This window comes from Homo sapiens, chromosome 12 (assembly GCF_000001405.40).
Source record: "Homo sapiens chromosome 12, GRCh38.p14 Primary Assembly".
Lineage (NCBI taxonomy): Eukaryota > Metazoa > Chordata > Mammalia > Primates > Hominidae > Homo > Homo sapiens.
This window is the reverse complement of record NC_000012.12, coordinates 24,212,636-24,239,923: the sequence shown is the minus strand read 5'-3', so window position 1 is coordinate 24,239,923 and position 27,288 is coordinate 24,212,636. Positions and strand designations below refer to the sequence as shown.

Below are 27,288 nucleotides of genomic sequence, written 5' to 3'. Positions count from 1 at the left end.
ATGTCTTCTGTACCCTCATCAAACATATATACTTGGGACATCGGCTTCAAAGAGAATGGTCAGGTTAAATCTCCTTTTTAAATAAAAGTGAAAGAATGGCATAAACATAAATTGCAGAAATGTCTTCAGACCCTATACTGGTTCTAAGATGAGACTCTTCCTGGCAGAAAACTTTTGTTTTCTTGTCTTTAACAAGTGAATTCCACTTTCACTTCTGGGTGTAAACTGGCAGATTAGACATTTCCAAAGGCTTGTTCAGTGTGAAGTTTTTCAGGTGATTTCAGTTTAATGCGACCAGATAATTGTAGCTCCAGGGCTTAGTTAGGCTGTACAGCTGCTAATCCAGACAGTATTACCTGGTCACACGTTGTGCTTATAAGAGACACCTCTGCCTTTAATGTTCTCTCCCCACGCTGGTGATTTCTGGTTTCAGAAGTCCTATAAAAATGAGGCACACCAGGCCAAGATTAAGTCTGGGGGAAAAAAATATCGGAATATGCAGTTTCAGACAATAATGTAAAACCTTAAATCTTTTGCCAAAGATAAAATTTGATATGTTTGTGGCATGCAGTTCTACTTTATTCCTTGTCATCTCTAAGGAAATTTAGTGAGTTTGAAGACTATATCTTCTTTTTTTGATTCAGGGAGCTACTGCCCAAGCATCTATACTCTAAGCGTTTGTAAATAGTTATATCAATTACTGCAATTATTATTTGGTAAGAATGCTTCCTCTGAGTAGAGTGCAGTAATCCACTTCTCATATTTATTCCACTCAGAACCTCTTCTGAACAGCAATTGTAATGCAATATTGAATGATGATATGTTGGGATTCTGAAGGTTGTTACCTTTTTGTCTCACCCTGACCAAAATGTGGTATTTCTATTGTAGTTAATATATCAACAGATGCTTATAAATAAAAGGCAGATCTATTCATTTGTCAAACCTTTGTTAGCTCTTGTGGCCTACCCGGTAATGAACAATTGGGAAATAAAACAACGTTGGGAGAGGCAGTTTATATGTGATTAAGCCTTTCTATTGTGACATTGAATGTGAGAGATGGGCAGAAGTCCTGCTTTGGAGTACACTTTAACATGCCATGTGCAAAATGGGAATTAGGTTGCTATTGTGTTGAAAGCAAGGTGCATTATTTGGATTATGTAAGCTATGTAGGATCTAAGAGGTCAGAAAAGAAGGTAGAAATTGAGAGCCCAGGCAGTGGGGTTCAAGCAGCATAAGAAGTCAACTAACGGCAGTAAGACTACTCTGTGGCCGGGCACTGTGGCTCACTCCTGTAATCCCAGCACTTTGGGAAGCTGAGGAAGACTGATGACTTGAGCTCAGGAGTTTAAGACCAACCTGGGCAACATGGCAAAACCCCATCTCTAAAAAGAATACAACAAAAAATAAGCTGGACATTGGCGGCATGTGCTTTTAGTCCCACCTACTCTGGAGGTTGAGGTGGGAGGATCACCTGAGCCTGGGGGGTTGAGGCTACAGTGACCTGAGGTCATGCCCCTGTATTTCAGCCTGGGCAATAAACAAACAACAACAAAAAACTCAAAAAACTACTCTTGTGAAGTGCCTAGTGCAGAGCATGGCTCCCTATAGATGAGTCTTAGTTCTGCCTCCTCTTCCTTTTTACTTCCTTCCCTCTCTTTCTCTCTGCCTCTCTGCTATCCACCATGGAGAGAAAAGATGTTCTATTTTACTCTTAAGGGGTCTTCATCTGTAATCCTTTCTTTCAGCAACTTTATGTTTTCTTGGAAATTTATGTAGTTGTGTCATGGCCCTTTATTATACAAAATTCTTTCTTTGTTATCCTAGAAGGAGTCTAAAAGTAAGAAAATAAATAATTTGCACTTGCTCTTTATTCTTGGTACCTTGATTATAGAGAGAGTTGTTCCTCTTCAGCTGAGGTTGCCAACATAGGGACCACTGTATCTGCTTCTCAGTTTCTCAGTTACCATGGCCCAGCAGGGTCCTGTCTGGGCTCTGAAGATCACCAGGGATTCCTGGAGATGGAATCATTCTTTCCCTGGTCACTTTCCTGTGCATTCTCAGAAGCTGCCACTGTCCTAGGAGATCATCATTTGTGCTTGATGCTATGGAGAATTCATTGGAAATATCAGGCAAAGTTAATCCATAATTACTTCCATAGGCTATATATGTAAACAAGATAATACACATGAAATAAGTAATTAAATAAAATAGTATATTATCAATAGCAAACAAAATAAGTTCTTTATGTATGTTTAGAAAAATACAACTTGACTAGTTCAAATATTTCATAATTGTTACCTTTTTCCTTATCAGGTTGCTTATGAAAAAAAAAAAAAGTCTTACGACTTCCAGGCTTGGAGTTTATTCACATTTTAGGTTAGATTGAAGGAAATTACAAATTAAACTTTTGAAGAAAATTAAAAATTAGACTTTAACTTCTGGTTTTTAGAATGTTTATTATTAGTATCCAATAATCTACATACATGAATAAAGCTTACATTATTAACGACTTTCATATTGACCAATTAAAGTTCAATTAATCAACTAAGGTTCATTTGGTTCCATATGACAGTGAACTAGCCAGGTGTTTTTCAAAAAGTTGTAGGATATTGGAGTATCCTAGTGCCCCAAACCTTAGAAGAGCAGGACTCAGGGCATCTCTGGGAAACTCGGTCTCAGGAAGTATTAAGGGATCCTTCTTAAGATACCAATCAAATGGTTTAGCTTCCCTGACTTCCAGTAGGGGTCTGAAATGTATTTATGCCCAATAACATTTATTCATACCCACTAACATGGTAAATTCAGAGCATACGTAAGCTGCTGGGAGTTGTATTCTGGAGTCGTTACATCAAAAATTATCAATTTCTTGGCAGCTTCTCATTTTCTAGTAGACATGTACACCTTTAAAGATCAAAAGACCGTGGCAAAGTTTCTTGATCTTTTCCCAACTGATGCCCTGTTTTAGGCTTCTAGAGGATTCACTGAGTAATCCAGATCTACATTTTTTTTTTTTTGAGTTGTGGATACTGACCTATTTTTGAGGGGCTGGGATTGACCTTTCACTCAGTGCCCCCACGTGTTTATTACTTTCACCTGCACTCATGCCTTCAAGCTCCTCTACTGTGAATCATTACAGAAATACAGGCTAGAATCCCTGTGGTTAAAGGCTGAAGAACTGGAAACAAGAACTGAATTCACTTCAACAAAGAATTGGTGTCTTATTGCCAACCAAGTGCTTTGCAAATTTGAATTCAACTCTGCTTCTTGCTTATAATCTTTCCCTGGTTTCCACAACTGCATTTCAGAGTCTTTAATTAGAAGATAAGGAAACTGTAACCAAATAGTCCTGTGTACATCAGTCAGCCCAAGACTGGCCTTTGTGGTGGCAATTGCAGTGAATCAGAAATTAGCTGTTTGTGCTTCCTGGCCAATTTCTTCCATGCTAGCTTGCAACAATCTGGAATTGAAAACTTTTTCCTATGGAAATTCTAAATTTCATCTTCACAGTTTCTCAAATTTACAGGTGGTAACTCTATATCATTAAGTTAATGAATTTAATGTGTAGTCTGATTGATGAATGTAGTGGATTAGAACATCAAGCAACACCTCTCAGCACTAGGTACATAGACTAACAGATATGAGAAGAATGACACAAGTTCTTTCACCTGATTCGTCACTGTTACTTCTTTATTTTATTTTATTTTATTTATCTATTTATTTATTTTTGAGACTGAGTCTCACTGTGTTGCCCAGGCTGGAGTGCAGTGGTGTGATCTAGGCTCACTGCAAGCAGTGAACCCACTTCCCGGGTTCACGCCATTCTCCTGCCTCAGCCTCCCAAGTAGCTGGGACTACAGGTGCCCGCCACCACGCCCGGCTAATTTTTTTGTGTTTTTTTAGTAGAGGTGGGGTTTTACCATGTTAACCAGGATTGTCTTGATTTCCTGACCTTGTGATCTGCCCACCTTGGCCTCCCAAAGTGCTGGGATTACAGGCGTGAGCCACCACACCCAGCCTGTTACTTCTTTATTACTGCCAGAATGGATCATGCAAAGTTGTCTATTAGTTACAAATTCCCGACTTCTGACTAATTAAAAGGAAAGTCTTGGATATAAGTAGCTTTATTTAAAAAAATTTTAATTGTATTAGTCTCAAAAGCATAAACTAGATAAAGTTGACTATGGAAAATTAGAGATAGATGAGACTTAAGTATCATTAACATATGAAATCACTAGTTATAATGAAATTCATAAAAAATTAAGTTCATATAATAAAGCATACTTTCTTAAGAAGATAAACGTTTTGCCCTTCCTCTGGGTCTTATTTATGATATGAATTTGGCTATGATAATTACTCATAGTAGAAGGCACATTTTAGCTCAACCTTTTTCAAGATGTTATTAGTCATATTAGTAGAGTACAAATTAATGTAGGGTTTCTATTATTTTGTTTTATGAGTTTTCATTTGTTAGTTGGTTCTTTAGTTTTGAATAAACCAGAAACTTTTCTTCACATATTTGAAGTCCAGTGACCTCTAGTAATTGGAATAGATATGAACCAAAAATAAGCTTAGAAAATATTATTTTATTTACCTCTGCTAATTGAATAGATATGAACCAAAGTAAGCTTAGAAAATATTAAATTATTTTATTACTCTATGCCTCTGAGCTGCTAAGCTTTACTCATAAGATAGCTCTAATGTCATCTTTCATAGGCTATATGAATGCCTGAAGCTTGAAACAAATGTTTTCCGAGCCACAGCAGAATAATGTAGCAAATCGGAAAGATGAAGGGCCATCCCGAAGTCTTTTTAGTGTGAGACAGTACAGAGGAGATTTTAAAAAGCAAAACAAACAAAACAAAAATCTCATGCAAATACTGCAGGCGTAATAGACTGATCCAGTTTATTGTAGTGCAGGGTTCTGTCATCCTCAGCACTGTTGACATTTGGGTTAGATAATTCTTATGGGGAAGAAGTTGACCTGTGTGTTTTAGGATGTTTAGCCGCAATCTTGGCTTGTGCCCACTAGATGCTACGAGCACCCCCTCTCACTCCCACCTCACTTGGGACAAGCAAAATTGTCTCCAGACTTTGCTAAAGGTCCCCTGGGCAGGGGCAAAATCGACCCCTAATGAGAACCATCACTGTAGCATTTAACAACTCTATAAACATTAAGAATCCTTCAAAATATAATTGTGATATTTCTTAGCATAACTATAAGCCATCAAAAGGTGTTATTTTGGCCGGCGTGGTGGCTCACCAGCACTTTGGTAATTCCAGCACTTTGGGAGGCTGAGGTGGATGGATCACCAGAGGTCAGGAATTCGAGACCAGCCTGGCCAACATGGTGAAACCCTGTCTCTACTAAAAATACAAAAATTAGCCAGGCGTGGTGGTGCACACCTGTAATCCCAGCTACTCGGGAGGCTGAGGCAGGAAAATTGCTTGAATCTGGGAGGTGGAGGTTGCAGTGAACCGAGATTGTGCCACTGCACTCCAGGCTTGGTGACAAACATTGTTATCTTTAGCCCTCTCTCTTTAACATGATAGGTAAATATGTGGTGTATTTTAGGAAGCTTTACATTCTACTGATTGAAATTTTTTAAAAATTGTATTGTTTATATGGTAAATGTCAGTAATTTCAGAAATTCTGGCACACAGAATCCTTTAGATTCTTGTGACACTGAAAAAATAAATGATCGAATATGATTTTGCAAAATATTTGCCTTCTCAATTATGCTGTGAAATATTATAGGTCCTCTGGCATGACCCTTTCAACTGATACTAAAATTATCTTTCTTTTCCCAAGCACACATTATAGAACAGTAGGCAGAAACTGCCCTAGCACAATAGGAAGTATGAGGAAGTTGGCCTCGGATTCCGTGTGTAGATTTGGACAGACCAAATTGGATATGAACCAAGAGCATGAAACAAAGTTTCCCTAAAGATTGTTCTTGATAGTTTGGAAAGCAAGTTGTGCCTTTCGTTTATTATTTTGAGTACATTTTCCTAGATAAAAGTCATGGTACAAGTTCTGATCTTTGATCTGTTCATCCTCGAGCATGTTGAAGACACATGATTCTATTATCCAGCTTGTTCTCTCCTGGGATCTATTAAAAAACCTGTCTGGTTACTTAATGCCAAATATGCACATAGGTCTTCCTTGTGCTGGCTGCATCATATCCCAATAGGGACAAATAGCAACGTTGACAATTTCATTCACTGCAGTCTTATTTTGAATGTCCCAAATTCAGAGAACTCACAAACCTTACCAACTAGGTGTTGCCTTCTAGAAAACCCTCATTTGGAAAGACAACTGTGTGGGTAGATTGTCCAAAGCTAACTTAAAGTTCGCTTACACAAAGGTATGTGCAACTTTGAAGTCTGACTTGCCACTTAAATTTAACTTTTTCCCTTTTCCACATTTTCACAATATTCTTTGATCCTCAATTCTGTAATTGTGCCTCTGTTTCCTTAACATAATTTTAGTTCATTGTATTAAGCTATGGTTTCTGTGTTTCTGTGGCATACTTTTTGCTTGTAAATTTTTCTTTATATTTGTTTCGTCTTCATAATCATCTACAATTTTATAATTTGTATTGATTAGCTTTTCTTGGTGTGCTTTTTAAATTTTCATTGTTATTCATATTATTATATTGGTTAGGATGTTCTCTAAAGTTTTTAACCCTTATCCTATTTTTCTTGCATTTATTTAAACATTATCCATTTTCTCATTTCGTTTGTGTGACTATTATCTTGTATTTTCTATCGGTTTTCACATTTTTGTCTTTCATCATGAAGTTAGGCATAAGAGGGAACAGCTGTGAAATCTATGCTCTGAGAACAGTTTCTGAATATTTTACTACTTCAATCCCCTAAAGCCTACTCAAAAACTTCAGGTGTCAACAACTCAACTTATACAGGAGCCAGACAGACTGGTGAGGACTGGGATGAACCCAAGGGCTATGTGTTTTTATCACATGGTGGCTTCCATTTAATACCAGTAGATTGCTGCCATGTGGAAGGGTGGGCATAGCATTGACAGATCATCCAAGTTTTTTTTTAAGTGTCGGAAATATGGATATTATATGGAATGTCTCAATTTCTCAATAGTGGAAAATACTTTTTTAAAAATGTGAACACTACATAGGCCGGACAGAATACCAACACAGTGAGTGGTATGCAGGTACTTCTCAAAGCTATTGCAGTGGCCATGAAAGCCAGGTTACATACATTTTTCCTTTGCCAAGATATCTAACCAATAGAATTATTCATTAAATCAGGAGGTTTGACTCATATCAAGTCATTCTTAGAGCCAGAAATCAGCAATATTTGGCCTGCCTTCCTGTCCTGGGGCATGTCTCTAGCAACTTTGATCTTAATGATCAGGATTATTCCCTTGAAGGATTCTTCCTTGTCTCAGGAATAGATTTACTTTCTTATTGTTGGTTAATTGAATCCTGAAAGTATTAAGTATTAGTATGCTTCTCTTTGTGTCAAGAAATTGTTCTTACATCTTTACAGCCATAAGTGTGGCTCTGTCATTGTTCTTTGTTATTTTGATTTTGCTGCTACCTATAGAACTCTTGTTAAATGTAAGGAAATTTCTGGAGTTATCCCCATATTTCAGAAGCTCTGAAAGGTTAGCAAAGTATATTAAGAATTTTAGAGAATATTGTGTGAATAGAATGTTACATAAACAGGAAGATGAAAATTGATGAATGAAGTCAAAAATAGGTAAGCCATTACTGTCTTTGGAGAAAATATTGTAAGCCTGCTCACAAGATACCATGGTAGGTGGACAGGGAAAAAAAAGAAAAAACACAGGTGAATGAAAGGCAAGATGGAATCATCTGAAGTGGATTTTAGAAAGTGATTGTTCCTAGATTGAGTTACAAATTTGTTCAGAACGTTTGAAGATAATTATAAAATCACAAAGAAATTGGTAACCCTAAAGTAGATTCCTAGTTTCTGAATACCTTTTGTTTTGGATCCAGCACTGTTCTAGGAACAGTTCAGGACAGTCAAACTGAAAGTAAATGGATTTTTAAAAAATACTTTGATATATATCATTCAACACTCAAAACAGCCCTATGAAGTGATCAGAAGAATTATCATCCTCAAGGAAACTTAGACCAAGTAGAGTACATAATGCTTTCGAAGACACACAGTTAGTTTTTAGGTGGAAGGAATATAACTGTGGGCCCTTTCATGCCTACTCTTTTATGCCATTCTACCATATCAGCAGTGGTAACCGGCATAGTCGTATCAATCACAAAACGTGGTGAGGAATCCCTTACTCTTTGTGAGTATATGTGTAGAGACATTAGATAAGTTTCTGAGTAACCGACAGTGTATCTTTCACTTTGTTGTGGAGTTAATCTTTAATACTGGTTAGAATGTACAAGCAGCCAATGGTAAACCTCTAGCCTATACTTCCTTTTGATTGTATAGCATTTTCAGTTGGTTGAACCATATGCTTGAGACTTTCTTCCCCCTAGAGTTGAGTTTATGATTGAGCTTAGCAAAATCTAAACCGTTCATATTAGATAGGTGAGAAGTAAGAAAATCAGTCACAAAACAGTCCTGGGGGATTTGCTTGTTTCATCCATTTGCAGAGTTTCCACTGATTATTCTAAACATGTGTGTTGAAAACAGGAAAGAGAGCCTTGTTACTGAAGTTTAAAAATAAAATAATTCTAATGTGGTCATATTAACTGAAATTTGAAGAGCAAGAGCAGCTCCTCTGAATAATGGCTCTCTTCATCTACTGGTCCATCTCAAAGTAAGAGCTTCAATATGAAATAACAAAGGTCAGAGCTGGCTTTCTGTGCACCTTGTTGCTTCTCTTATTTCTTCTCTTAATCCTATTGAAACCTGTGATTTAGATAACGGAAATTTCCTGATTTGAATTCTTCAAAAACGGGGAATGCAAAATGAGGACCAAGTACTTTACTAGTCAGGTTTTGTTATTCAGCTGTTCTCTCAATTTTCAGTGCCACTTTTTAGATTTATCTTGTCAAGAAGCAGGGAAGAATAAGAAGTCAATATCATGACTGTGTGCTTTTGCTTTGACATGATATTTATGTACATTTATATGAAAGTTACCAGGAAACCTCTGAAAATTGCAAAATTTGAGCTTTGTGTCAGGGCATGATTCTTGCATTTTACAGTGATCTAAGAGGGTATGTTACTCCTGGGACGGTGTCGGCTTTGTTTTCCTTTGTTTTTATCATCTTCTAGTTTGAACCCTGATCTTAAGTGTAAAAGTTCAGCCTGACAGATTGTCCATTTTCTTTCATTCCAACCTCTTCTCTCTCTCCTTCCTCGGAGTCCCTCTCTTTCTCCAGTGGGTTGCACTTTTCCTGGGAGTAAACAGAAGATGTTACATATATTAACACTAAGCTGGGGTACAATGTGCTTGGGTGTGCTCTCTGCAATTCCCTGGCAGTCATAAATTAATTAAAAGTAGACAGGAACCACGGAAAAAGAAAGTTATCCGTTTTTCTACCCCTCCCCCAGCTTTTTTTCTTTTTCTACCGGTAAATAGCTGGTTCCTTTGTTCCTGGCTGCACTATTTCATTTCTGCCATCATTGTCCTCATTGTTCTCAGAAACAGGAGGGGTCTGGGCCAGGAGCAGCAAGGTCTCAGCTAATGACGGGAAGTCTTTAAAGTTTGCGCTGCATTTCATCTTCTCTGTGGGAGTTTTAGGACGTCTCCAGTGTTTGATCCCTACCGTGCAACTTTGCTTCTAGTTAATTAACAGATCCCCCATTACACACTCTCATCTAGAAGCACATGGGAGGCCTATTGGGAGGTAATTCAAGGCCAATCTGAGTGATGGCAGGAATGAGAGAAATCAGTTGTTTTAGGGCTAACGTTCAGGAAAGAAAGATGTCCCATTTTAGGGATCTCATTTGAAATTTTTGATGATTTCTCTTTTCTATTAAAAAACAAGATAGGGGAACTGTTTTGTCCACATAACCTTATGATGACCAGTGAGGGCAGTTTGAACTTAGAACTCTTTATAACTGCCTGGAATAAAAATAAAAATGAAAAAGAAAGACAATATTATCAGATGTGGCAATATTAACAAGAATTTTGTTCCCCCTTTTATTGCTAGCGGTCTTTTTCCTGCCCAGCCTATTAGCCGGGTCACAACCATCCATAGCAACTTTTTCAGGGCACACAAGGCGTAATAGCTGGCAGGGACATGTCAGTGGCTCATTTTACAGCCAAGGCTGAATTATATACTTTGTTCTTGTGTTGCTGCTTTTGTTCCAAGGGTGTCAAAGTGATTTACAAATAATAAATGACATGGCTCAATATTAGGATCCCTTCCTCTTCTAGTCTCTTTCCAGATGAACATTGCAAAACAAAGCACATTTACCCAAAGTTAGAAGTTAGCATATGAGTGCCAAGAAAGCAGCCTCTGCTTTTCCTGACCATGGTTAGCCTGGGTTTTGATGGCCTTTGAAAAGGGAATGCCTTGTTTATTTTTTTTTTCTTATGCTTCTACAGTTTCCCCAGCCCTATGAGCAATGACCCCCTTTATCTAATGAATTAGGAGCTACTCCTGCCTTGCAATTCTCAGTTCGACACTTGGCAATGAGAATCAAACCGGGGCTATTTAGTGCAGCAGTAAATGGCCCGCCACATTAGCCCCCTGGCATGCTAAGCTATTAGGTTGTTTTACTGTTGTTAAAGTTACATTTGTTAGGTGGAGTTGCTGCCCTTCCACACAAACTCGGCGGTGCCTGATGCTGGTGGAGGCAGCACGTGTACAAAACGTGTGCCATCCACAACCCAAGCGGTCAGGTGGTGTGGCTGCACTACAGATAAGGGGCGTTCTCCTGTCTGCCAAAGTGGGGATATGGATTGTTGTAAGTTTTAAAACGAGAAATTGGGGTTGGGGGAGAACCACTGGACAATCATGGGTCTTGCACTTTGTTGTGAATAAACTAATTATATGGGCTCGATTAACCATTAATTTATAGCAGTTCTTAAGTGAACCACTAATTGTCAGAATGCCATGGAGAAGGAAGGCCAGGGGTGAGAGGCACCAAATAAGCTGGTGTGGCCTTCTGCAGCAGGCCAGCAGCCAGTGCCGCACACACACTGGAAGCTGGGCAGAATCCCGAGGAGTTGAAAGATTAGCATGGAAATGAAGGAGAAATATTCAGGGTGCTTCAATGGTATGTATGTGGGGTGTGTGCATGCATGCATGTGTGAGAGAGACAGACACACACACGCACACACACGCACACACACACAGAATATTTCTGCAAAGAAAGGAAGATGCCAGTACTATATAGCTCCATGCAGCCAGCTTGCAGGGTTGAGTTGGCATTTGGTAACTTGGTAGCGGCTGCCAGTGTGTGTGTGGTGGGAGAAGAGGGAATAGACAACAAGAAAAACACATAGAGCTTAAAAAAAGATGTAAAATGATTCACTTCATGCCATATGGACAAAAATGTTGTCACAAAAATAAGGCCAAAAAATAGTGCCAGGTTAGACTTTTAGTTCAAAAACATATGTATAATCATCCCCATGAACATGAATTTTAATTAGTATTTTGATAGAGAGAAACCAGATATTTTTTTAACCTGCTCTGTTCTTGTTTTCTGTTCCTCTCCCAGTTTTAGCCTCCATTAAACATTCATATACTGTATGTTTTGTGTCTGTATGAGGAAAATGCTTTATCCCTGGATTGGTGGGAATGCAAACATCTTGGTTTTCTGTGGCATACAAAATATCTTCCCAGTGGAGCTCGAAAGCAGAAGCTTATCACAGGGAAATCTAGAGCTCTCTCTGAGACCCGGGCACACCAGGGAGGAAGGAAGCCATATGCCTTTCTCTTTGTCAGTGGAGACATCTGCACCCATTCGGTTCCCCAGATCCACTCTTCACACCCATCCACATCTCATCTCTCTGGGATGCCTTTTAAACATGAAATAAGTTTTGTATGTATGCATATTATTATGTGACAGGGCAGTTTTGGGGAAAATGGATGATCGTGACTACAGAGACTTTAAAAAATGGAACATGTAACTTATTAGTAAACTCTATGCTTTCATTTTACTTATTAGTTACACAATACCTACTTCTTAAAAAGGATTTGAGATGACAGTACTCATCGAAGGATACCGTGCTGAATCATCTGCCCTTAGCAAAGCTTTTCTCACTTTAAATGAGGTGCTTCGATTAGTGCCCTGTATGTGATAATTAGATGATGAGACAGCAAAATGCTGATATTAGCAATGATTTTGCTGCTTAGGAGGCCATTCACACCCCAGGTTCCCTCACCGCCCCCCACCAAAAGAATGCAGGTGAATCAGGTATTTGTATTATAAATGATACAAGTGAATTTTAAAACCTGGTATTAACAGTCAATCAAATCTTGGTGCAGAAGCATTAACCTATTTCACATTCTTTAATAGAACCTCTGAGCTTTCCTCTCACCATTAGTGATATTTCAGTCCACTTCAAGGGTAAAAGGAAAATCAACAATGGTCTTAGAAAAGGTAAATTTCACCTCCCATGTAGAGTCTCTCAGAGATTTCTCAGACTTTTGTTTTTGGCAAACATGAACACAGACGTTCTTCATTTCTCTCCTCTTCCCTTCCTGGGGAAGCTCTGGTCTCTTTAGTTAGAATAATATGTCCCCCAGGCGCCTGTTGAGGACACCCTCTTGGTGCTGGCAGGTTTTTCTGGGCTTGCTGTCTGACGTCTGCTGTTTCCTCAAAGCATTAGTCATCATTCCTGTAAGGGTTACAACAACAGAATGAATGTGTTACTTGGACAAACAGCAGCCTCAAGCCACAAACCAGGATGCACCCTGTCCATTACGTCCATTACGTAGGAACTGCAGGAAAGGTGGTCTTTACCTCATCTCCAGGCTGTCTCATTTTCCGAAGAGTAGGAAAAAGCTCTTGCTAAATACACCTGCCTGCCTTCAGAACTCTAAATCAGGCTTATATTTGCTGAGAACTATCCCCAAGCTCTTGTGTCAGACTGCTGTTGGATCCAGTAGATTTATTCATTCATTCATTCATTCATTCATTCATTCAATCACTGTTTTGAAACCCCTAATATAAGTTCTAAATTTAAAGAAAGTTTAGAGTTGTTTCTTGCTACAGAAGTATTTGTACAGGCCGGGCGTGGTGGCTCACGCCTGTAATCCTAGCCCTTTGAGAGGCCAAGGCGGGTGGATCACCTGAGGTCAGGAGTTGAAGACCAGCCTGGCCAATGTGATGAAACCCCAACTCTACTAAAAATACAAAAATTAGCTGGGCGTGGTGGCGGGTGCGTGTAATCCCAGTTACTCCAGAGGTTGAGGCAGGAGAATTGCTTGAACCCAGGAGAAAGAGGTTGCAGTAAGCCGAGATCGTGCCGTTGCACTCCAGCCTGGGGGATAGAGTGAGATTCTATCTCAAAATAAATAAATAAATAAATAAAATAATGAGGAAGATCTCTATGCAGTAATATGGAAGACATTTCCAAGAAAGATTCTTAGGTGGAAATTTTAAAGAAAACTTCAAAAGTATATATGGAATGCTGTCTTTTGCATAAGAAAGAAGGGCACATAAGAATAAATACATACATTTGCTTGTTCCTGCAATAATACAGGAAGTATAAGCCTTAATCAAGAAAATAATAATGTATATTGTGTGGGTGTGAATGAATAAAAGGGATGGGGATGGAAGTGAGTCCAGAGTTATCTTACATAGTTTTTTTTTGAACCATGAGAATATTATATATGTTTTAAAAGTAAATTTTGATCGAAGATGAGAACATATCTGAGATGTTAGATATTAACTTGGATGGAAAGCCCAATGGTAATCATTGTTAATGGTACTTCAGGCCAATACTCTCCTAAAGAACAAAGAGAAGTGAAGGGGGAAGCACTTAAGAGATTGATTCCTACTGACTTGTACATATTACTGGTACTATCCCACTATATTTAATACTTAAACTTTACGTTTCTTTGATTCCTACAACTAACAGGAATTCCTTCTCCTTTTCTCCTACCATCCCTTTTGGCGAGAGACGAGAATAAATGGAACTATTAATCATTTTTTCTACTTTTACAATTATAATTTGAGTCAGTGATGTGATTTCTTATATATTCTGGGAAGAGGGGATATAGTATCTATGCAAATTATTTGCCAGTTTGTAAGTCATTACAATCATTAAAAATATAACACCATCATAGGAAATATTACTTGCTTCCTAATGAACCATATTGTCTTTCTGCTTTAATTTTTATTTACAACATCAACAATGACAATGAAGTACAGTTTTCTACTAATGTGTAACCAACTCTCCTGAGTGTGTAGCATGTGCTTTTGGTGTTAACTATTTTGGAGACAAGAAATTAGCCATTGTTGAAATTATTTTAAGAAAATGAAATGTAACTCTAAGTGGGGAAAAAAAAAAAAAACCTCTGATAATTGTTAATTTACTCAACTAATGGCTTTTCCTGATGCCCAAAAGTTTTAAAGTTTCAAAGCTTTTTCCAATTTTCTTCCCTAAATGACTTTATTTTTTGGGTTGTTACAGTGCTTTTGTGAAACAAAGATGTGACTATGTGTATCATTGAAAAACTGGCTTGTATTGGACCTCCTTTAAGCACTGAGCTTTTAAAGAAAATTACTGGTAGGCAAGCTGATTTTGGTGATGGGTTAGGTATAACTAGAGATTCATGTTCTCAAATTTTGGTCCTGACATTCCTTTCCACCTGAGCGAAGGAAAGAAAGCGGAGGGTATGTTCGTGTCACAATGAGGTTTATACTTTTGATCTGGGTAGAATTTGTGTTCGATATAACCAAAATGTATGGATACCTACTGTGTGTCTAGCACTTAAGTAATTTCTTTTATCCAATGGCCATATAATTAAATAAGCAAAATTTCACCCAGGGGCGGCAGTCTGAGAATTCAACACACTAAATAGAAAACTAGAAGATGGGAGAATGCTGTGTAAAGAGAGAGTGAGCACCCTGTGTGTTTCTAAAGAGAATGGAAGGAATTTATTCAGCCTATGTAGCCTCTGTGTGGGTAAGGTTTTAGTTATGAGATAAATCAATGATCACAATATTAAATAAGTCATACCATTGCACTTATCAGTGCTCATGCAGTGACATAGTGAAAAAAATAATGAAGTAGAAACATCAGTTCCCTGTATCAAAAGCTATGAGATATAAATACTCCCAGCCAAAGAAGGCAAGATCTGAAATTTTTTAAAAATGTGGATATATAGAATAAATATGCAACCCTCCTGATAATGTTGGCTGATGAAGTGAAATTCACCAACTGTAATTCTGGCACAGAGAGACACACATAGTGCCTGCATACACACACACACCCACACACACACACATACATCCTCAGAATATTCTTAATCATTTGCTATCTTATTTACATTTCATTTGCTAGAGTAAATTCTATCATTTGAACTTTTAAAAAATATATTTCAATATTAAGCAAAAATAAGGAATAATGTGATTGGCTTTCAAATAGCTTATTACCATTCAAATACTCTCTAGATAATTTATATTTAAAAAGGCGAAAAAAAAAAGAAAGAAAAAAAGAAAAAAACTGTGTCAGCTTCCGAAACATTCTAAATGGAGACTTAGCTCTAAGTAATCAAAATTGCTTTAGTTGTGCAGAGCAGCATTAAAAGCCTCGTCCACTAATTGAGTGAAGCGGCACAACTGAAGCAGCCTTGTCCCTCATTAGATGATCTTGCAGGCACTGTTTGTCATCCTGGGTTGCCGGGCTCAATCTAATAGTACTGCTGGCTCAAATTAATGGTAATTCGTTATGACACACTATGTCCTTCCAGCGAAACAACAATGCGAAGCCAGTGGGGCATCTGTCTACCACTGCTGCTTCTTGATCTCTTTCCTTTCCACTTTAGTTCATGCGACCACCTTTGCATAACGCTTCTAAATTCTTTAGCTAACTGGTGATTGGAGATGCCACCTGCCTGAAGAATTGCGTCCAGTTCTCTTCCACTAGTGTCACAGAAAAAGCATCTCTAACAATAGGTCGAGTCAGTCTGAAACGTGATGACATTTTCTAACGGAAGCAAAACTCATTCGTGTGTGTATGTTTTTTTGTTTGTTTGTTTGTTTGTTGTTTTTTGTTTTTGTTTTTGTTTTTGTTTGAGATAGGGTCTCACTCTATTGCCTGAGCTAGAGTGCAGTGGTGTGATCATAGCTCACTGCAGCCTCAACCTTCTGGGCTCAAGCGATCCTCCCACTTCAGCCTCCAGAGTAGCTGGGACTACAGGCACATGCCAACATGCCTGGCTAATTTAAAAATTTTTCAGTATAAAGATGGCCTTGCTACATTGCTCAGGCTGGTCTCAAAATGCTGGCCTCAAGCAATCCTCCTGCCTTGGACTCACAAAGTACTGGGATTACAGGTGTGAGCCACTGTGCCAGGCCTGGGACTTCTTTTGGAATGTAAATACCTCACTTGTATCTAATCATGGGGAATATTAATAAGAAATCTTGAGATACAGTGTTCATGAATGTGATGTAAATCCAAAGACAATGAATATTTTCTGACTCTTTGACTTTGGTTATTCAATACCTTTTGGAGGAAACTTCATGTTTATGTGATGAGCATTGCTGTTCAGAATGCTGCTTTTCTATTCTTAAGTGCAGATAGAATGCTGGAAAATGTTCTAACAGTGATGCAATCAGCCACTTCCTCCTAGCAACTCTAAATTGTGTGTTTGTATCAATCAGTTTATTGTGTTCATTCAAATAATTTCATCTGTCTGGAAGGATGACTCAACTCTACACATGAAGAAACATCTAAATAATATCTGGACATGGCTTTTCATTTGAAATCCTCGAATTACCCATGAATAGAGAAAAGGTCACATGTATTGACCAGTTGACTCTGCAGTTTTGAAAGTGGTGATGCTTAGTCAGTATGGGGTGCCGGACAGTTGTATCACCCACTGTTTTCCCAAGGTTCAGCCTTAGTCTCACTGTAGGGTGTCTATTCCAAGCAATATGGGCACAGTGTGATTTTAACAATGTTAAAAGCTTGCCTACCACCATACCATGTATTGTTTGAAATCCCACAATTAGATTCAGTCCTTTGGGCTATATATTTTTTAAATGTTTCTTAGCATAATCTAATTGCTTGGAAGAGCTAATATATTACAACTAGTTATCAGTAATCATTTATTCATTTACTTATTTCTATTAATCCTATCCCCTCCCAAAACATGCTCTAACAAAATCCTTCAGTTCAGAACTAGTTCCCATTCCCTCATTTTGCGAAATTCTTGCATAAAACCTAGATATATCGCTTTTACATGGTAGTTTGTAACGTGCCTTGATGAACGCCTGCTTTTTCCATTAAATCTGCTCCACCCACATTCAGTCTTCACAATTTCAGCGAATAGTAATTCCATCCTTCTATTTGCTCGTTTTAAGCATGTAGGAGTCATCCTTGACTCCTAGCTTTCACTCATACCCCTGTCCAGTCCACTGGCAAAACCTCCGTGCAGAAAAAAAAATTCCACATTCACCACTGCTACTCTGGCCCAAGACAAAATAAACCATTGCCTGGAATATTAAAATAGACTCTACCCTGACCTACTTTAAGCTTATTCTTAACATAGCCCTGGAAATAAATAGGGACATTTTTGGTGGTCAAAAGACCAGGGCAGTTCTACTGGCATTTCATGGGCCCAGTTTAGAGACACTAAATGGCCTGCCATGTGCTTGGTGGTGGGGGGGAAAAGAGGAGCTGTCCACTCAGAATGCCAATAACAACCTCACTGAGAAATATTGAACCAATTAAAACCTAAGTCACCTGATTTTCCACTTATGCTCAAACCTCCACATTGGCTTTTAATTTTTCTAAGAACAGAAGCCAGTATCCTAACTATGGCCTACAAGGCCTTACACAACCCTTGCCTTCCCCTGGCTTATCTGACCTCACTTCCTATTACTCTTGCATTCACTCACTCCATTGCAGCCACTCTGAAAATACAGTATGCCATCGTGCTATTTACTCTGTATGAAAAGTTCTTTCCCCAATTTACACATCCCTCACCTCCTTACTCATATATCTTCTTTTCTAGTCACCCTGCTTAAAATTGCAGATCCTGCTCTCAGATTCTTGTCTACAAACTGTTTTTGTCTCCAAAGCACTTGTTGCTATTTAATACATTGTGTTGTATTCTTGTCTTTCTTTACTCACCAGACTGTAAGCTGCATGAGAGATTTTTGTCCATTTTGTTCCCTGCTGTGATCACATTGCTTAGAATAGTATCTGGCAGGTAGTAGGTGCTCAGTGGGCAGTTTTTGAGTGAATAAATTTAAACTTATAACAACCTTAGGTAGTATTGCATTAAGAAATGGAGATTTAAAAGCTGAAAGAGGCCAGTAGATTTGTCAAGAGACACTTAACTAGTAAAAAGAAGAATTTACACATGTTCTCATGAATACATTTATTCATCTACTAAGTATTTATTAAACTCTTATTTGAAGTCGGGCTCTGTTTTAAGTGCTGGAGGTAAACCAATGAACAAAATAGACATGGTTATAAAACAAATTAATTTTAGAGATGGCAAGTGCTATATAGGAAAGAAAGGAAAGGAAGAAGGAGGAGTGATGGATAGGGTGGAGGAGGCCTTCATGTCTTGTATTTTTTTCACTATAACCTGACTAGCTCATTTCCATATTAGTAACAATTACTTTATTTAATGCATTAGCAAACACTTGAAAACAAAATGGGGAATTGATACACAGGCATAGTTTGAAGAGGTTATGTGATATATTGGGAAGAAAATGGATTTTGACATCAGGCCATCCTGAGTTAAAATCTCAGCTCTGTCACATGGGACCATAGACAACTAAGTCCAACCCAGTATCCTCATTTGTTAAGTGGAGTTAACCATGGGCACTTCATGGGGTAGTTGTGAAATCAAAAACCAGTGTAGATAAGGTGTCTAACACGAAACACAATAAGTCAATACATGTTTTCTTCAGACTTTCGGCTACTACATAGGAAGTGGAGTAAAATGTGATATAAATCCAAAGATAATGATAGTTTTCTGACTCTATGAGTTTGGTTATTCAATACTGTTTGGAGGAAACTTCATGTTTATATGATGAGCACTGCCGTTCAAAATGTTGCTTTTCTATTCTTAAGAGCAGGCAGAATGCTAGAAAAAGTTCTAGCAGGGATGCAATTAGATACTTCCAATTGGATGGGGTGCACCAGTAGAGATCTGTGTGCTGTGGTGGAAGACTGGGTATGAGGGGACTAGGTGCCAACTTAGAACCTTTGGAAAACATTTTTTTGCCCCGTTTAAATAATAACATATAACCTATGTATGTTTTGTCACTTTATTTAATAGCCCTTTTATTATTAGGAAAGTTATAAAATTTCTTGGAGAAATATTTAGAAAATATAGTTTAGCAAAACAAGAAAGTAAAAAATTCCTGTAATTCTGAATTAGCACTGTAACGTTGCATATTTATACTTTGAATCATTTTTATATCGTGTGAATGTGTGTGCATCATTAGTTACATAAAGTACAAATCCTCTGATTATTTCCCAAAGTTAATACTTTGGAACATTAATGTTTTGGAAGAAAATTAATGTTATTTGATAATTATTTATCTCAGTGGTTAACTATATAAATGCTATATCTACTTGATGATAATGATGATACTATCTTCTATATCTAGTATAAATCATCTCACTTATTTTATCACTGGAAATTTCTACCTTGTAATTTTTCACATTATTTATTTATATACATTACAATATCTGCTGTTACCTCCTAACACAGAATTCTTGTCTGATTAATCTACTTAACTTTCAAATAGGCAGGAAAAAAAAGCTATTAACATTAATTACCGAGTTATGTAAGCCATTAGTTCAATTAATCATCACTTTAAAGATGAGGAAACTAAGGCTCAGAAAGGTTTTACCACCTATAATAAGTTGAGGCCTGAACTCAAGCTTACATCTGTGTGATCCCAAAGTACATGTTATTTTTATCTCTCCATTCTGCCTTATCTTATATGCAATATCTTATAATAAGTGCTTGAGAACTTTTTGTTGAGTAAATGAACAGATGAATGGTTGGATGGTTTCTGTTCAACAAATCCCCAATTTAACTCAAAGCAATGTGCATGAGGGATTGGAGCCTTATTTAAATTTCAGTGGCAGAAAATACACTTGAATAGTAAAATATGTTTTAACTAAACAGAGAGGTTAGACACTTAGGTGGTATAACTGGAATTGAGGCTGTTTAATCATATAACTCTTATGATCATGAAATTGGATAAATGTGAGTCTCTTAGGTTATGTAGCCTCTTGAGTATTTCATTAAATGCATTCTTATTAAAATTAAAGATTAAATAGATAGAAGTGGGGAACTTCAATTTTATGTCGCTGAAATTTGATGTTTTTAGAAGTTTGAATTATTGTGGAGACAAAATAGTTGTATATGTTTTTAAGGCACATGTGATATGTTTATTTGAGCACACAATGTGTAATAATCACATCAGGGTCATTGGGATATCCATCAACTCAAGCAATTATCGTTTCTTTGTGTTAGGAACATTTCAATTCCACTCCTTTAGTTATCATGAAATATATAATAAATTATTGTGAGCTGTAGTCACCCTATTGTGCTACCAAACACTAGATCTTATTCTTTCTAACTGTATTTTTGAACCCTATTAATCATCCCCTTCTTATTCCCCCTCTTTCAAAATTTGATGTTTTTAAAGCAGGTGTTTTCTCATTTATTTATCTATTTTGGTTTTGCAGCTAAAATTTTCTTTTATAACAGTCACTCTCAAATTGATAATTCAAAAATCTCTATGGTTTTACAAAATTCTAAAATGTCTATGATTTCCAACTATTAACAAACTGTATTCTAAAAGTTGCCATACTTTGAGTTAAAAAATATTTCTACAGTCTAAGCCTTGATAAAGAGACAGTGACACTTGGATTGTATTACAATACTTGAGTACTGTTGAAAGACTAATCTCTGAAGACTAATTTAAAAGTAGAACATCTTCCTATTACACATTTTATTATTAGTTTTTAGCCATGGTATGCCATTAATGTTATGTATCAGGGAGTAATCTGCATTTATTTTGTATTATCTTAACATTGTTAGATTTTTCAAGGTAGATGTATATACTTTTTTAAAAAAAGATAATGAGACTAAGTTGATGTGTTTTTGTTTCATAGTATGTAATTTTTAAAAGACTTGTTTGTTGAGTTATAATTTATGTACCATACAATTCATTCATTCCAAGTGTTCATGTCAATGTTTTTTAGTGAGTTCATGGATTATTCAGTGTCACCACTACCCAATTTTAAAATATTTCCATCTGACAAAAAGAAGCTTTGCACTCATTTTCACTCTCCATTACTCCTCCAGTGTTCCCCCATAACTCTAGGTAGCCGTTGATCTGCTCTCTGTCTCTATAGATTAGCCTATTTTGGACATTTCTTATACTTAGAATTATACAATATATGGTCTTTTGTCACTGACTTCTTTCACTTGATAAAATGTTTTTAAGATTCATCTGTGCTGTAATATGTATTGTATTCCTTTTTAAGGCTGAATAATATTTCACTGTAATGGATGTACCAAATTTTGTTTATTCATTTGTCAGCTAGTTAAAAAAACATTTAGATTATTGGTAACTTTTGACCATTATAAATAATGCTGCTTTGAACATATGTATACACATTTTTGTTTGGACATAGGTTTTTATTTCTCTTGGGTATACACTTAGGAGTAGAATGGCTGGGTCATTTTGGTAACTCTATTTGTAAACTTCTAGGAATTGCAAACCACTTTCCATAGCAGCTGCAGCATTTCATATTTCCACCAGCAATCTATGAGCGTTCCCACGTCTCTATAGCCTCACCAGTGCTTGTAATTATCTGTCTTGTTTTTATAGCCATCCTAGTGGATATATAGTGGCATGTCATTGTGGCTTTGGTTTACATTTCTCTAATGGATAATGATATTGAGCATCATCTTTGTACATCTTCTCTAGTGAAATGTCTATCAGATCTTTTGCTCATTTTTAAATTAGTTATTTGACTTTTCATTATAGAGTTCTAAGAGTTCTTTATACATTGTGGATGTAAGTCAGTCCCTGGTCAAGTGTATCATTTGCAAATATTTTCTCCCATTCTGTAGGTTGTCTTTTCACTCTCTCGATAGTGTCCTTAGAAGGAGAAATGTTTTTAATTTTCATGTCCAATTTATCTGTTTATTTCTTTTGTTGCTTGACATATCTATTGGTATTGTGTCTGACAACCCATTGCTAAACCCAAGGTCATGAATATTTACATTTTCTTCTAAGACTTTTATAGTTTAGTTTCTACATGTAGGTGTATGTCATCCATTTTGAGTTAATTCTTATTTATATATGAGATAAGGGTCCAGTTTAATTCTTTTGCATGTGAATATTTTGTTATCCCAGAATAATTTATTGAAGATTGTATTACGTTCTAACACTAATTCTCTTACGTCAGCTGGGTGTCCTGTAGTTCAATTCAATCTGACGCTAACTATTTGCAGTTAACATCAGATCCTACAGATTCAAGGACAAGGTCCTCAATTAGACTGTCCTTATTTCAAAGGTCAACTGCAAGTGGGGTCTCCAAGCTACCCTTATTTCTGCTTGGCAGAATTGGCTACAAAATTGGGAGTTCCTAAGAACCCCTTTAAGGTTTGATAGTTCACTAGAACAACTTAGCTATCTCACAAAAAGTGCTATACTTAACAATTGCCATTTTATTATAAAGGATTTAAATGAGTAGCTGGATAAAGGGGTACACAGGATATGTCTGGAATAATCTGGAGCACAAGTTTCTGTCTTCATGGCGTTGGTTGCAACACCCTCCTGGTACATCAGTATGTTCACTATCCTGGAAGCAATTCAAGCCTCATGTTCGTAGTTTTATTTGATTTTTAAGATGGAGTCTTGCTCTGTTGCTCAGGCCGGAGTGCAGTGGTGTGATCTCGGCTCACTGCAACCTCTGCTGCCCAGCTAAAAGTGATTCCCCGGCCTCAGCCTCCCGAGTAGCTGGGATTATAGGCGTGCACCACCCTGCCCAGCTAATTTTTGTATTTTTGGTAGAGATGGGGTTTTGCCATGTTGGCCAGGGCTGGTCTTAAACTCCTGAACCTCAAGGTATCCGCCCTCCTTCTTGGTCTCCCAAAGTGCTGGGATTACAGGCATGGGCCACCGCACCCGAGCTCATGTCCATAGTTTTTATTCAAGGTATTTATTACATAAGCATATAATTGGCCATGTGACTAAACTCAATCTTCAGATCTTCTTCTTTCCCCAGAGGTAGGAGGGGACTGGAAACGCCATCACTCTAATTACATGGGATTTTTTATTTTTTTTTTCCGAGGCGGAGTCGCGCTCTGTCACCCAGGCTGTAGTGCGGTGGCGTGACCTCGGCTCACTGCAAGCCCCGCCTCCCGGGTTCACGCCATTCTCCTGCCCCAGCCTCCGGAGTAGCTGGGACTACAGCCGCCCGCCACCACGCCCGGCTAAATGTTTTGTATTTTTAGTAGACACGGGGTTTCACCGTGTTAGCCAGGATGGTCTTGATCTCCTGACCTCGTGATCCGTCCGCCTCGGCCTCCCAAAGTGCTGGGATTACAGGCGTAAGCCACCGCGCCCGGCCGGGATTTTTTATTCTTTTGACAACCTCCCCCATCCTGTAGGCTATCTGTGGCAACAACCCTGTGCCACCTCATTAGCATAACAAAGGCACATCTATCACTCAGGGAATTTCAAGAATTTCTGAAACTCTGTGCCAGGAACCAGGGACAAAGACCAGATTTTTAAAAATATATTAATACTTATATGACAACTATTCTTCCTTCCATTGACTTGTCTGGGCAACCTTATCAAAAATCAACTAGCTACAAATGTATCGGTTTATTTCTGTACTCTCAATTCTGTGCCATTAGATCTATATGTGCATCCTTATACCAGTACCACTAATGTCTTAATTATTGTAGCTTTGTCATAAATTTTGAAGTTGGGAAGGATACATCCCCTTTTTCTTTCTTTTTTTTTTTTCAGGATCGATGTAGCTATTTTGGACTTTTTGTATGTCCATATGAATTTTAGGATCAGCTTGACAGTTTCTGTAAAAAAGCCAACTGGGATTTTGATAAGAATTGTGTTCAATCTGTAGATTAATTGGCAAGTATTATCATTTTAAGAATATTAAGTTTTCTCATCCATGAATGTGGGTTGTCTTTTCATTTTTTAGATATTCTTTAATTTTTTTCAAAGATGTTTATAGTTTGTGATTCACAAGCCTTAGACTTCTAATGTTAAATTTATTCCGAAGTATTTTATTCTTTCCATGCTATTATAAATGGAATTGTTTCCTTGATATCATTTTCAGAATGTTCATTACTAGTTTGTAGAAATACAATTGATTTTTATATATTGATCAACTATCCTGCAACCTTACTGAACTTGTTCTTTAGCTCTTATAGTTTTTTAATTACTTCCTTAAGATTTTCTAAGTAAAAATGATAACGTTATCTACAAATAGCGATAATCATACTTCTTTCTTTCCAGCCTGGATGCCTTTTCTTTCTGTTTCTTATTTAGTGAACCTGTATGAAATCTCTAATAAAATGTTGAATAAAAGTGGTATGAGCAAACATTCTTGTTCCTTAGTTTAAGGAGAAAACAGTTAATGTTTTGCCATTAAGTATTATAGTTGTAGATTTTTCATAGATGGTCTTTACTAGGTTGAGGAAGTTTCCTTCTATTGCTAGTTTGTTTAATGTTTTGATGGTTTTAAAGCAGGGTGTTGGATTTTGTCAGATGCTTTTCAGCATCTATAGAGATATTGTATGATTTTTCCCTTTATTAATATGGTATGGTATGTTATTTGATATTTATATGGTAAATCAACTTTGCATTCCTGGGATAAATCCTACTTGGTTATAGAGTGTAATTCTTCTTGCCATTTTATGTACTCTAAAATGATCTAAATATTCCAAAATTATTTAGGCTTTTTAAAATGAAAAAGAATATAAATTAATAAATAAAAGTTGCACAAGTCACCTGGTCTTAGATTACCTCTAAGTCTGTAGCTCTGGTATGTTAGACCAGTATTTCAGAAGTGGAATTCTGTTTTCCTGTAAGTACAGTTTGAAGTATTGTCATTAAAATACTGACCTGCATAATCTGGTTGATAATATAGGACCAACCTAAGACAAAAAATTGATAAGCTTTTTATTTATACAATTTTAATAAGCTTGTTGCAAGATCCCACATATAATTAATAAATGCATAAACATCTTGAAGTCATATAATGTAGTCATTTTGGTGGCCAAACCTTAAAAAGCAGACAATAGCTGATGAACTTCCCCATATAAAAAATATTCCACAATCACAAATAAATAATAAAATCATAATAAAATAGCTGTATGTATTGAAAACTTAGATTTGGGGTTCATGACAAGCTTATGAAGCCATTTTGTAGATTGGGAAAATAAGCCTCCAAGAGGTTAGATAAATTTGCAAAAACATTCCCAGAAATCAATAATTAAATTCTGCTTTTATGACCCTGCAGTCTGTCTCTGATAAAGTGACTACTTATAGAGTGTTTCTGTTTTTATTTTGTTCTTTCTATTGTTGGTATTTTTGCCTGGAAATTATTCAATGGGTTTATGAAGTATTTATTCTTCTATAACTTAGTGTCCTAGTACAATGTAGCACCGTGCTTTGCTAAGTGCTTATGTATTCTATAAATTTTATTTCATAAATTTATACATATACATGTATTCCATAAGTTTTATTCTATAAATTTATACACATATGTATTCCATACATTTCAGTGCCCGTTAGAATGTTTTGCGTAAAGTATTGTAGCTCTAAGTAATATTACATTATATATATATATATTTTAAACTATCATGGACTATAAAAAATGGTTGTAATTGTCTCAGTAAAACTAGGCTTAGGATCACTTCAGGCTATACACACACACTTGTGTGAGTGAGTTTGTGCATCACACATGCATGCTCACATGGCTGAATTAATCATATGATGACTTTTAAGTGATTTAATTAATATGGCTCCAAAATAATTAGTTCATATTTTTACATTTCAGTTGTCGCTGTATCTTGAAATGTCATTAATAAAAATTGTTTAGTTTTTCATTGATTTTTCATTCATTAGCCACTAACTAGCACAGTCGTATGAGTCTGATGTTGTTTTATGGCTATGAATCTGGTCTAGAAAAAAAAAAAATTATTATAATGAAAGTACTTAATATTTTTTCCAACATTTTGCAATAGAAATCTCATTTAACTATCTTTATCATTTTCAATTTTTTTATTTATTTGGAATTACTCTGATTTCTCACTTAATATTTTCTTTCTTTGTTTCAATTTTTCTTCCTTTTTCTTTTTCTTTTTTTTTTTTTTTTTTTTAGCATTTCAAGAAATAGATAATATCAAGGACATCAGGACACCGGGAGTGGGAGAGATTGGACTGGGAGACTCAGCAGGTCAGGACATTTACATTACCATTTGCTGGTCATTCTTTTGCCATCAGTTTTACAATTCTCAAATCTCTTGCCACTTGCTTATTTCTTCCATGTGCTTGAGTTGTTCTTGGTTTGCAAATTATGAATAATACTCTAATAATGTAAGAAGTTGAGCATTTGGGCATCTTCCTTTTATAGTTTGAAGATGAAAATAATTTAAAAACTATCAAGAATAGAAACAAAATCTTACATAAGTTACATAGATGCCTGAATTTATATTTTTTCTATATTTTTTTCCTTGTATAAACTGTTTTGAAGTGAAACTTCTTAATGACTTTCCCTTAATGACTTTTAAGAATCAAATTCTTAAAACATGTAGAATGTTAATAAATATGTAATTGTAGGGAGGAGCACCCAGGTCATGAAAATCGAGTTTCTTCTCTTCTCTGCCATGTACTCTGTGCTGGTGTCCACCTCTAAAAGCTCTTGACACTCTTCAGAGTCAATCTGTTTGCCAACGCTAATAGTAACCAGAGAATATTGACTACCATGTATGAAATGAGAGTTAATTAAATCAATTTCTATGTAAATAAAAGATCTCAATAGTCAAAGAGTCTCCTGGGAGCATTCAGCAGTCATTGTGCAAGGTTAGTTTTAGTCACGTTTCTCAGTAAGCTAGAGCCACACTGGCCTTTGAAGTCCCCATTGCCATGATTGTGGCTAATGGC

At 36.7% G+C, this 27,288-nt stretch overlaps 1 protein-coding gene and 1 long non-coding RNA gene across 22 annotated transcripts in view, besides 2 other annotated features; one reads left to right on the top strand and one right to left on the bottom strand.

Moving 5' to 3' along the window:
- Positions 1–27,288, top strand: part of SOX5 (SRY-box transcription factor 5) — a 1,033,147-nt gene that overhangs the window by 322,727 nt on the left and 683,132 nt on the right. For 17 of the 20 annotated variants that reach the window (XM_024449159.2, XM_024449158.2, XM_047429458.1 and 14 more), the window contains one exon: positions 26,507–26,581. The exons of the other annotated variants lie outside the window; for them this stretch is intronic. The gene's annotated coding sequence lies outside the window, so the exon portion shown is untranslated. The remainder of the gene's footprint in view (positions 1–26,506; positions 26,582–27,288) is intronic. 20 annotated transcript variants of the gene reach the window in all.
- Positions 1,959–16,653, bottom strand: SOX5-AS1 (SOX5 antisense RNA 1). Of its 2 annotated transcripts, NR_120472.1 has the most exons (5): positions 16,601–16,653; positions 12,537–12,763; positions 12,106–12,213; positions 9,309–9,365; positions 1,959–2,102 (listed from the first exon to the last, which is right to left on the bottom strand). It is a non-coding gene; the product is annotated as an SOX5 antisense RNA 1 (long non-coding RNA). The 2 variants fall into 2 exon arrangements; NR_120473.1 differs by lacking the exons at positions 1,959–2,102; positions 9,309–9,365; positions 12,106–12,213 and having other exon boundaries at positions 12,416–12,763.
- Positions 12,635–12,929: an enhancer, noted in NCBI's record as "tiled region #6359; HepG2 Activating non-DNase unmatched - State 24:Quies, and K562 Activating DNase unmatched - State 9:DNaseU". NCBI's record gives its function as "activates a minimal TATA promoter and a strong SV40 promoter by Sharpr-MPRA in HepG2 and K562 cells {active_cell/tissue: HepG2 | K562}" and the evidence as "EXISTENCE:reporter gene assay evidence [ECO:0000049][PMID:27701403]".
- Positions 22,843–23,469: an enhancer, noted in NCBI's record as "H3K27ac-H3K4me1 hESC enhancer chr12:24369389-24370015 (GRCh37/hg19 assembly coordinates)". NCBI's record gives its function as "activates a minimal SCP1, AML or CMV promoter by ChIP-STARR-seq in naive H9 embryonic stem cells {active_cell/tissue: H9 hESC(naive)}" and the evidence as "EXISTENCE:reporter gene assay evidence [ECO:0000049][PMID:30033119]".